Raw genomic sequence first — 13,080 nt, 5'->3', positions numbered from 1 at the left:
GGCTTGATCTCTGCTCATTGCAGCTTTTACCTCATAGACTCAGGTGATTCTCTGACCACAGCCTCCCAAGTAGCTGGGACTACAGGCACATGCCACCATGCTCAGCTAATTTTCTGTATTTTTTTGTAGAGATGGGGTTTCACCACGTTGCCCAGGCTGGTCTCAAATTCCTGAGCTTGAGTGAATTGCCCACCTCAGCATCCCAAAGTGCTGGGAGTACAGGTGTGAGCCACCACACCCTGCCTGTATGTGTTCATTTAAGAACATAGTAAAGAGAAAAGGGACCCAGCTACCACTTACACCGATCGAACTTTTTTCTTCTTGTTGACAGCAGTTCATTAGTAGTCATTCTATGAATGCAGACATTTGATTATTAATCTATCTACAGCATCTAGCTTATATTGCTATAGCTAACCCACAATATATTGGAGATAACTTGCAAAGTGACTTGATGAACTCAAGATACTACATGGACACATTTTGTTCTGATCTATTAGTGTAGCTGTCATATCAAAGAAAATAATGAGGTAAATACATCAATTGGTATTATTGGTATTCATGAACCTGAAAGTAATTACCATTTTCTCTCCAGGGGAGATCGGATTACAATTAACAGGATACTGAATACCTGAAATGAAAGAGAGAGACGGTGCTTAGGAGTAAATGAAAAAAAAAGTAAACGGGAGCAATGGAAAGTAACCTTACCTCCTTTGCCATTCCACCACAGTTTGCCCCATTTATCTGCCCACTTCCATGTAGAACAGAATTCTATCCATGAAGAATGTTCTGTCCTGAGATGCTAAGCAAATCCAAATTTTACTTAAAAAAATTAAAATTTCTCATCAATCACCAATTTCTATGAATTGTGAAGATAAATTTCAACAAGAATAATGTCAACATAAAAGTTTCAACTTGGCTGCTACACAAACACACACACACACTCAAGTATTTTCTTTATCTCTAAATAGAAATAATAAAAAAGTTGAGATTACTCTTTTGAGAACTTTAATCAAATAACAGCATATCTTTTTGGTCATAGAGCAACATTTATATAGTAAAAGTAATAAAGCCTTCAGTTGGGGAGTTTATCTTTCCCTTTTTAAAACCAAAGCCAATAAAAATGAAATAATAAAGAAACAAACTTTAAATGGCCTATAGATAATGACACCCCTGCTAAGATACCAGTTTAGTATCCTGCAGTTTAAACAGCTGCCATTTGTCAGATAATTGCTTATTTCCCATATTTGCATTAAAGCAGAAGGCTATATTTGCATTTTTGACCCACTTTGTTTTTGCAAGCAAAGTTGTCATATAAGAATCATTGGATAACCTATCCAATTATCTTCACTAGTTGGAAGGCATAAAAAAGTTCAAAGAAACTTACCATCATAAAAAGAGATTTGTTGCATATATGACTTAATTTTCCATCTTACCTCTGGAAAAAAAATCACAGCAACTTAACTCCTTGAACGTGCAGAAGAATAATTATCTCCATCCTTCAGTCCCATCCCAGTATTCTATATTTACTTTCAGTTCACACAGCTAATCATTCTGCCCTCAATAGTTCTCATTTTTACACCTTTTAAAAGATCTTTTGGCCTAGACTTTGGCCCAGTGGAACATCCCTCAAAGACTCACCTTGTGCACATAGAACTCGAAGAGAGACACTACGTTGATTACCTAGGTTTTTAAAATCTCCAGTCACCTAGCACGAACACGTGCTACTATGGCCAATTTCACCTTATACTGAAACTCTTTTGGCTATAGATTTATGTGGCCATCTTTTAGTGTGATTCTAGGCAAACCGTATGTCAAAGAAAAGTTGCAGTGGACAAGTTAAACAGGTAAGGAAGATTTATTCCACACCTATTGCGTTTGGGGCCAAGGTTATGGCAATAAGGGAAAGAGATTGAACTCAATTCTGCAGAAACCAAAGTTGGAAGAGCTTTTAAATGCTGAGGTGAGAGAGTGGAAAAAGTACAGGAGGCATTTGTGGGGAATTGGTCAATGCAATTAGGCCATCTGTGTTTGCTAATTTTTGCTTATCTAAGTTAGGCTCCTATCCCCACACAGAGCCAGAAAGATGGGGGCTCTTTCTTGATGATTGCATTTCGAAAGGAGGACCACCCCCCGACACCCCACCCCCCACCACCACCATGGCCGGGCGCGGTGGTTCACGCCTGTAATCCCAGCACTTTGGGAGGCCGAGGTGGGCGGATCACGAGGTCAGGAGGTGGAGACCATCCTGGCTAACACAGTGAAACCCCGTCTCTACTGAAAATATAAAAAATTAGCCGGGCATGGTGGTGGGCGCCTGTAGTCCCAGCTACTCGGGAGGCTGAGGCAGGAGGATGGTGTGAACCGACATCGCATCACTGCACTCCAGCCTGGGCGACAGAGCGAGATTCGGTCTCAAAAAAAAAAAAAAAAGGAGGGGGAAGACCCTCAGCTCCCTGAGAAAAACAATTCTAGATTGCAAAACTGGCAAGAGGCTTTTTTAAAGATTTTCATTTCAAAGGAGCACAGAAATAGTTACAATTTGCAAGTTTTCTAAAATGAATGAATGCTCTAAGAAAAGAGAGATCTGGGGCTGCCGTCAGAAAGAAGGCTAAAGTTTAGTCAGGCTAAGGTGAACTTCAAAGCCATCCAGGTCACCTGTCTCAATTAGATGTGCACAGGTGATCTTCCCTGGAGTAAATCTGAAAGGGATATCCCAATTGCCTTGACTTAATCAATACACATTGTGTACGTGTATAAATTATTACACTTACCCCAAAAATATGTACGACCATAATATATCAATTATAAATTAAATAAATAAACAAAAATAAAAGTAAAGGGAATATGAGCAACAGGCAAGAAGACAACTAAGAGCAGAGGCTACCATCCACCTCAACCATCCTCCCTAAAAACACCCGCCCACCTTTATGGAATCACAGCTAAGATCCCTCTTCATGGAAATAAAGAATTGATTCCTTATTACTTTTTAATTTATTATTGCATATAATCATCAATATATCATGAAAAATAACAACATATAATCAAGTATTTCATATCTTTCATCTCTTCTAAAATCACATTCTCCCCATGGGCAGAAAAATATGACTAATCAAAGTTCCATTTCCCCAGAATTTTCTGCAATTTTATAAAATTCATGCAAAAAAAGCAACAGGCCAACATCTGGCTTTTCCAGCAGGACACAGGCAGTGCTATTTGAGGCTGCCACCTGGGTGTCTGATGCTGGTCAAAAGACACTCCACGACTCATAAAGCCATAAAGCCACACACTAGAGAAAGCTTTATATAAAAAAAGTAATATTCAGAAGATTAGTTCTGTCTGCCCTTCAACCCACTCTTATATCAGGCTTACCTCTAACCATCCTATTTCAACCCAGCTTTATGCCCTCCCCTTCCAGCCAGCAACTCATTTTATTGAGCTCCCAGCTGTCCATTCACCTGCTTCACTCTCCATTTCATGACTGGTCCAGCACTTTCTTGGGGCATCAGTTACCTGGCAGTATCAGACTGTTTGATACCTCTGAATTATTCTACTGCTGGAATCCTTTCATTCCTCTTCATGTAGCGCACATGAATTCACTCTTCCAAATTTGGAGCTCGAATCTCACATTTTCCATGAAGCCTTCCTGACTTTCCTTTCTGAATACATGCCCCTCCTCTCTGATCTGCAGCAATTCGATGTGCTTCTATTATTGTGTCTGTCTTAACGTACTGTAATTTTAGGTTCACCTATCTGTTTCTCCCACTGACTGTGACTCTTAGTGAAAAAATAACATAGTGTGTTTACCATTCTATCCTTGATCCCTTAAAGGCACACAAACACCTTTTAAATTAATTGAAAATGTATTTCAAACACCCCCATATGCATTACTTAGTGAAACACCCTAACAAGGTACAAGTCAACACCGTGGGACCTATCTCCTTCTGTCTCTGGACAGTTAGACCTGTTTTTAGATCTTATTATTTTTTCTTTTCCATATGATATACAATTAGTTACTTAATAAGTATAAAAAATAGTGCAATGGTTAATATGTTCTACGGAACTAATAAGTCCTGCATCACTTAAACTCATCTTTTAGAACATACATACATATATATACATATATACATATGGACCTATTAAAACTTATAACTGTAATAACCATTATAGCTAATAAAATGGTAGAAAATCAGCAATATATCAAATATAACATTTTAAATTTTATAAAAGATTGACCTGGATATTTTCCTTTCTCCATCTGATTTAGGGATTTGAACCTAGCATTTATTCTGTTTGGAGTATTATAGATTTTAGCTACTTATGAAATGTGTCATAATACTCTCTGTTATTCATTCTAAGATAGCATTTTATCAATTCTATTTGGTTATGAGAAAAGGAAAGAATAAAGAAATAGAGAGGTGTTTTCCCATGTCCTTTGTGGGATACTACATTCTATAGAATCTACAAATTAGAAGAAATTTCATCGAATGTCTTCTCAATGTCTTGGCCATCCAACACCCAGAGAGGTGGTCACCCAGGCCCTGTTTGAACATTTCCAGTAATGAGTGTGCCTTCCTCCATGAGGTCCTTCTGCCTGGTGCTGCACAGCTCTGATGCTTTGAAAGTTATCAATATTGAAATGAAGCCAACCTGTGTTGACTTCCAATTTGTGCCTACTTTGTGAAGTTATCAATCATATTCCACTTCAGTCCTCTTTTTCCAGCCCAAGTTCCTACAAAACATGAATTCTAGATGCTTTCCCATTTTTGTCAGTCTCTTTCTCTATGTCTTTCTGTACCTTCTCTATCTTTTTGTTTTTTGTTGCTTGGATTGGGTGGTTTAAATTTGTTTTTGATATGATTCGAGCACCACAATTTTCTTACACAATTATGAATTAAACCAAAAGCTTGTAAAACTGGCTTATAAAATTACAGGAGGATTTTAGAATAAAATTAATAGACAGTGAATTCTAGTTCAATTCAGGGATTAAACTTGAAAAATGGATAAACTCAAGCCACATGTGATTCATACTTTAGGATATAATTCTTTGCCTTGCCTTTTCTCTGCTGTAACTTCATGCAGCCTATTCTTAATTTTTAAAAATTAAAATAGTTCTCATTTTTACACCTGTTTAGTCTAGACTTTGGCCTGGTGGAATGTCCCTCAAAGATTCATTTGATGCATGTAGAACTCAAAGGGAGAAAATATGCTTATTGTCTACGTTTCATTGCCTATGTCTTAATTTAAGAATGAAATTACCATTGGTCAATAGTAAGCTACTTATTTTTCTGTGTCAGGCACACAAGAATTTGCACCATGACCTGCTTTGAGAGATTTGTCAACCCTGCTCAACTAAATTGTCTTTTTTTCCTTTTTCCTTTCCTTTCCCTTTCCCTTTCTTTTTTATTTCTTTTTTCTCTTCTTTCTTCGTACTCTTAAATAATTAAAATAATTAATAGGCATTGAGAATGTCTACTAACGCTAGACAGTTTCAGATTATTAGCAAGCAGGTATAACAGTTTCCCCTCTGAAGGTCAATAGCCCCAACTGACAACTTTTTCACTCACCAAACACCTATTGACTATGTGCTGAGGACAAGCAAACCAACCTTTGTGATATTTTTGTTTATAAACTGTAGTGCTAGGGGTTTGAACTATAGAAATGTAGAGCTGCATTAGCTAGGCAATCCAAAAAACTTTCTGGAGAAGGTGAATACCAATAGACATGTTCAAGAAAGAATTGAGACAGATAAGGACTTAGGAAACGGGTATTCCAGGCTGGGCAAAGCTCTTTTATGGTCCCTTGATCTTCTTGAAAAAGGAGTTTGATTTTTAGTATAATTCAAGTCCCCTCCTGTGTGGTTCTTAGATTTCCAGAGAAATCTTTACATATAGTCTATCAAAAAATTAAAGGATATCAGCCCTTCTTCCCTATAGCAGATGATTTTTGACATTAATCAGAGAAATCAACCTCAATATCCACAACATTGGAAAATAGATAACTTCTAAGATAACTGACATTTTAAAAATAGATAATAATGAATATGTTTACTATTTATTGTCTTGGATATCACAGTATCTATGCCTTATAATGTTAAATCAACAGAAAGAAATATACCCAGACTTTAATACCTTATCTTCCTGCAGCATGATGTCAAATGAGTTAAGATTTAATGATATTTTCTTACTTTTATAGAGGATCAAATAAGGACAATGTAAATTTGAGCAATGTGTCTTTAAAACATGATCATTGAAGACTCACCTACTATACAATTTATTGGCTCACACAGAACACGTAGTCCAAAAAGATAAACTCCCACACACAAATTTAGTTATTTTATATCTCCAGGTAAAAGGAAGTATTATGTTTCTCCCCCATAGCTATAACAAGCTAACTGCAGTAACCAACTGCAATACAGCCCAGGATGAAATTTAATTATTTGCTCTTTTTAATACATTTGGAGCTCTCTTTAATTTTTTATTTGCATATGAACTTTTAATTAAAATATACTAGATATAAAGAAAAGCATACAAATTATTCATGTAGAGATTGATGAATTATACGTAATGATTACAAAGGAAGCAAAATAAGGACCTCATAAATCAAGAGATGAAATTTGACCAGCAACTCAGCAGCCCTCCATAAGTTTCATCCAATTTACAACCACTAACATCTACCACAGTAATGTTAACCACAATAAAAAGAATTAAACATAGTATCTTCTTCCTCCTTTCTCTTCCCCCACTTCACAATAGTTATTCACTGTAATAAAAATCTGTGATGTTTTAATGCATAGGATGACTTCAAATAAAAATTTCAATCCTTTGAGGAAGTGAGTTAAGAGCTCTCTTGTTTTCTTCAATTCCTTTGTACAATTTACTCTTTAACCTTAAATGTTGTGTCTGGGTTTCTTTTCTTCATTTTATTTTTCTATTTATTTTATTTTTTCTAGGAGGATACACAGAGAATTTGAAAAACCAAAGCAACATAAAAGGAAGGGTGAGGTTAAAGATAGGAAGACAAATACACTTTTAAGTGTGAAATATACTTCATGTCCTTCAACGATGGGAACTTTTCTTGAAACAGGTTAATCGGATATCCTGTGGTGTTGGGTATTACTGTTCACAAGAACAGCTTTGTCCTTAAAAGGATATGACTTGTTTCCTTGATATTTTCTTTCTGCCTTCATCATGTATTTCTGTGTAGCTTGCCAACAGTAAATATTGTCTTTGTTGTAACAAAAATAATGTCTACACATATACGTCAGTGGAGGAACCAATGTAGTTATATTTAGCTCTTTCTTTGCATAACAAATAGGATAGATTTAAATCTTAAAGAATATAAAGTGATACATATATTATCAAAATATATTTTAGTACAAGAACAAAACAGTTGATATATTTTTCCATAAAGTGCTGTGTTTGGTTAAATAACTTTTTTGTATGCTCTATTTTGTTTTGCATCCTTTCTTTCCTTTTGTTCAATAAATACTGAATATTTAAACTAGGTACCATGCACTGATCTGACTACTTTATAAGCATTATTTTATTTCTTACAACAACCTTAGGAGATATAAACTATTATCATCATGTCTAAAACATGATCACTACCACATAATCCAGCAATCCCACCACTGGGTATATATCCAAAGGAAATGAAATCAATATGTTGAAGAATTATTGGCACTCCCATGTTTGCCGCAGCACTGTTCACAACAGCCAAGATATGGAATCAAGCTAAGTACCCAAAACACGTGAACAAATAAAGAAAATGTGGTATAAATACACAATGGGATACTAGTCAGCCTTTAAAAGGAAGGAAATCCTGTCATTTGCAATAACAATGATAAACCTGGAAGACATCATGCTACGTGAAATAAGTCAGACACAGAAAAACACAGAAAGTGCACGATCTCACTTATTTGTGTAGCCTAAAAAGTTGAAGTCACAGTAGCAGGGAGTAGAATCGTAGTTACCAGGGACTGGGGTAGGTTGATTGTATCCTTTGATGTTTATCAAAGTATTCAATATTTCAGTTAGACAGGAGGAATAAGTTCAAGAGATATATCATACAACATTGTAACCATAGTTAATAGCAATGTATTATATACTTGGAAATCGCTAATATAATAGATTTCAAGTGTTCTTGCCACAAAAAATAAGTATGTGGAGTAATGCATATATTATGTAGCCTGACTTAGCCATTCTACAGTGTATGTATACATATTTTAAAGCATCGTGTTGTATACCATAAATATATACAATATTTATTTGTCAATTTAAATAAATATGGTCACTGAAGAGTCACCTAATGTACAATTCAGTGTCTGACATAAGAACTTTTAATGTCCCCCAAATAAAAACTTCCACACACAATCTGAATATATTATTTTGCAGATAATAAGCATACAACTCATTATGTTTCTACCCTGCAGCTATCATAAACTTACTGCGGTACCCAACTGTAGGAAAGTCCAGATTTTACAGAGGCAGAGAGAACTCCAATAACTCACGCAAGCTTATACTAGGAAGTAGTATAACTAAGATTTAACTGAAATACAGAGCCTGTGATCTTAACCACTAAGCTGTAATGTCTTTTGGGAGGTTTTACTAATAATCACATCCCCCCAATAATTTCTTCAAACAGTTTCTCATGTTTGTATATATATTTTATAGCATAATATATACATTAAACATACCAATAGTTTTGCCAATCTATATTTTTGACCCAAATTTTAATTCTGAAGTTTCAGACATGCAAATTGTTTAATAGGAGGAGTAGTGGAAAAGCCTCAGGCTATCTCCCAGAAATCTGCCACACCGCATGAAAGTTTGTTATTGGAGGCTGATTCCTATAGATGAGTAAGAAACTTTTTAAACATACAAATACCTCAAGAAGGCTTAATATGTTGATATGGTTTGGCTAGGCATCTCCACCCAAATCTCACCTTGAATCATAATAATCCCCACATGTCAAGGGTGGGACCAGATGGAGATAACTAAATCATTGGGGCAGGTTCCCCATGATATTCTCAAGACAGTGAGTGAGTTCTCACAAGATCTGATCGTTTTATAAGGGGCTTCCTCCCTTTGCTCAGCACTTCTCCTTCCTGCAGGCATGTGAAGAAGGACGTGTTTGCTTCCCATTCCACTATGATTGTAAGTTTCCTGAGGCCTTCCCAGTCATGTGGAATGTGAACCAATTAAACCTCTTTCCTTTATCAATTACCCAGTCTCAGGCAGCTCTTTATAGCAGCATGAGAACAGAATAATACATATGTTGTCCATTCATTCAACAAATATTTATTGTCTGCTATTTACTAGATACCATACAAAATACTTGGGATACATCAACAAAAAATCCATCCTTATACAGCTACAGCTTTCTGATAGAAAGAAGAAATAAGAAAAATATGGTAAATAATAAATAAGTAACTTATATAAAATTTGAAAAGATGATATGTGCATTCAGAAAAGGGTACAGCGGGATAAGGAGGATTTGTAGTAGTGGGGTGGGGACAGCCCACAATCTTAAATGTCAGGTTCAAGTTAGTCCTATTGAGAGGACAAAGATTTGAGGAAAGAGGTAAGAAAGATAGCCAAGGGGATTTAGGGGGAAGGAGGAGTGGGTAAGGGGTTCCAGACAGAGGTAGCAGACAGAGTGAAGAACCTGAGGACAGAGGATGCTTCACAACCTAATGTGTTATAGAAGAAGCAAGAAAGCAGGCACCCAGCTGGAAAATGTGAGGGAGATCAGATCAGGTAGGAATAGAGGTCAAGATTTTGATCATATAGGGCCTTACAGAGCACAGTCAGAATATTGGTTTTTAACCTCAGTGAAGCAGGGTGCCCCTACAGGGTTTTCAGTTATGTGAACCAACATTTTGAAAAGATCCTCCTGACATCTATCTTGAAAGCAGTAACAGATGGAAGAAAGTTGAATCAGGGGATGTGACTGGGATGATTATTGCCTAATCCAGGCAAAAAATGAAAAAATTTACGACATGATAGTTGTTAGAAGTAGCAATAAAGAATCAGATTTGAAATATATTTTAAAGTTTCAGACACTAAGATTTCCTGATAATTGGAAGTAGGGTGGGAGAGAAAGAAGTGTCAACGAGGTACTCCAAAGTTTTTACATAGTGATCAGAAGAGCAGAGTTGCTGTCCAAGAGATATTAATTGGGTATTTGTGATAGGGGTTTGGTTGGGGAGGGAGGATCAGAAGTTCAGTCTGGACATGTTAAGTTTAAGGAAATTACCATATATCCAAATGAAGATCTCCAGCCTGGAGATAACACATTTGTTCTTAAGTACTTATCATTCCTGCACATGTAAAGGCAAAATAATTAGGACAGATAATTTTTTTCCAACAGCTGTTGAGTAGGGTTGGCAATTTCTTTTTTTTTATTATTATTATACTTTACGTTACACAGTACATGTGCACAATGTGCAGGTTTGTTACACAGGTATACATGGGCCACGTTGGTTTGCTGCACCCATTAACTCATCATTTACATTAGGTATTTCTCCTAATGCTACCCCTCCCCGAGCCCCCAACCCCAAGACAGGCCCCAATGTGTGATGGTCCCTGCCCTGTGTCCAAGTGTTCTCATTGTTCAATTCCCACCTATGAGTGAGAACATGTCGTGTTTGGTTTTCTGTCCTTGTGATAGTTTCCTTAGAATGATAGTTTCCAGCTTCATCCATGTCCATGCAAAGAACATGAACTCATCCTTTTTATGGCTGCGTAGTATTCCATGGTGTATATGTGCCACATTTTCTTAATCCAGTGTATCACTGATGGACATTTGGGTTGGTTCCAAGTCTTTGCTATTGTGAATAGTGCTGCAATAAACATATATGTGTATGTGTCTTTATAGCAGCATGATTTATAATCGTTTGAGTATATACCCAGTAATGGGATGGCTGGGTCAAATGGTATTTCTAGTTCTAGCTCCTTGAGGAATCGCCACACTGTCTTCCACAACGGGTGAGCTAGTTTACACTCCCACCAACAGTGTAAAAGTGTTCCTATTTCTCCACATCCTCTCCAGCATCTGTTGTTTCCTGACTTTTTAATGATTGCCATTCTAACTGGTGTGAGATGGTATCTCATTGTGGTTTTGATTTGCATTTCTCTGATGGCCAGGGACGATGAGCATTTTTCATGTGTCTGCTGGCTGAATAAATGTCTTCTTTTGAGAAGTCTCTGTTCATATCCTTTGTTCACTTTCTGATGGGGTCGTTTGTTTTTTTCTTGTAAATTTGAGTTCTTTGTAGATTCTGGATATTAGCCCTTTGTCAGACGGGTAGATTGCAAAAATGTTCTCCCATTCTGTAGGTTGCCTGTTGGTAGTTTCTTTTGCTGTGAAGAAGTTCTTCAGTTTAATTAGATCCTGTTTGTCAATTTTGGCTTTTGTTGCCATTGCTATTTGGTGATTTAGTCATTAAGTCCTTGCCCATGCCTATGTCCTGAATGGTATTGCCTAGGTTTTCTTCTAGGGTTTTTATGGTTTTAGGTCTAACATTTAAGTCTTTAATCCAACTTAACTTTTGTATAAGGTGTAAGGAAGGGATCCAGTTTCAGCTTTCTACATATGGCTAGCCAGTTTTCCCAGCACCATTTATTAAATAGCAAATCCTTTCCCCATTTCTTGTTTTTGTCAGGTTTGTCAAAGATCAGGTGGCTGTACATGTGTGGTGTTATTTCTGAGGCTTCTGTTCTGTTCCATTGGTCTATATCTCTGTTTTAGTACCAGTACCATGCTGTTTTGGTTACTGTAGTCTTATAGTATTGTTTGAAGTCAGGTAGTGTGATGCCTCCAGCTTTGTTCTTTTTGCTTAGAATTGTCTTGGCAATGCAGGCTCTTTTTTGGTTCCATATGAACGTTAACTTTTTCCAATTCTGTGAAGAAAGTCATTGGTAGCTTGATGGGGATGGCATTGAATCTATAAATTTCTTTGGGAAGTATGTCCATTTTCACGATATTGATTCTTCCCTTCCATGAGCATGGAATGTTCTTCCATTTGTTTGTGTCTTCTATTATTTTGTTGAGCAGTGGTTTGTAGTTCTTTTTGAAGAGGTCCTTCACATCCCTCGTAAGTTGGATTCCTAGGTATTTTATTCTCTTTGAAGCAATTATGAATGGGAGTTCACTCATGATTTGGCTCTCTGTTTGTTTATTATTGGTGTATAGGAATGCTTGTGATTTTTGCACATTGATTTTGTATCCTGAGACTTAGCTGAAGTTGCTTATCAGCTTAAGGAGATTTTGGGCTGAGACCATGCGGTTTTCTAAATATACAATCATGTCATCTGCATATAGGGACAATTTGACTTCCTCTTTTCCTAATTGAATACTCTTTATTTCTTTCTTCTGCCTGATTGCCCTGGCCAGAACTTCCAACACTATGTTGAATAGGAGTAGTGAGAGAGGGCATCCCTGTCTTGTGCCAGTTTTCAAAGGGAATGCTTCCAGTTTTTGCCCATTCAGTATGATATTGGCTGTGGGTTTGTCATAAATAGCTCTTACTATTTTGAGATACGTCTCATCAATACCCAGTTTATTGAGAGTTTTTAGCATGAAGGGCTGATGAAATTTGTAGAAGGCCTTTTCAGCATCTATTGAGGTAATCATGTGGTTTTTGTCATTGGTTTTGTATATGTGATGGATTACATTTATTGATTTGCATATGTTGAACCAGCCTTGCATCCCAGGGATGAAGCTGACTTGATCATGCTGGATAAGCTTTTTGATGTGCTTGCTGCTGGATTCGGTTTGCCAGTATTTTATTTACAATTTTTGCATTGATGTTCATCAGGGATACTGGTCTAAAATTCTCTTTTTTTGTTGTGTCTCTGACAGGCTTTGGTATCAGGATGATGCTGGCCTCATTAAATGAGTTAGGGAGGATTCCTTCTTTTTCTATTGATTGGAATAGTTTCAGAAGGAATGGTACCAGCTCCTCTTTGTACCTTTGGTAGATTTCGGCTGTGAATCCCTCAGGTCCTGGACTTTTTTTGGTTGGCAGGCTATTAATTATTGCCTCAATTTCAGAGTCTGTTATTGTTCTATTCAGAG

This window comes from Homo sapiens, chromosome 4 (assembly GCF_000001405.40).
Source record: "Homo sapiens chromosome 4, GRCh38.p14 Primary Assembly".
Lineage (NCBI taxonomy): Eukaryota > Metazoa > Chordata > Mammalia > Primates > Hominidae > Homo > Homo sapiens.
Note: the sequence above shows the minus strand (reverse complement) of the source record.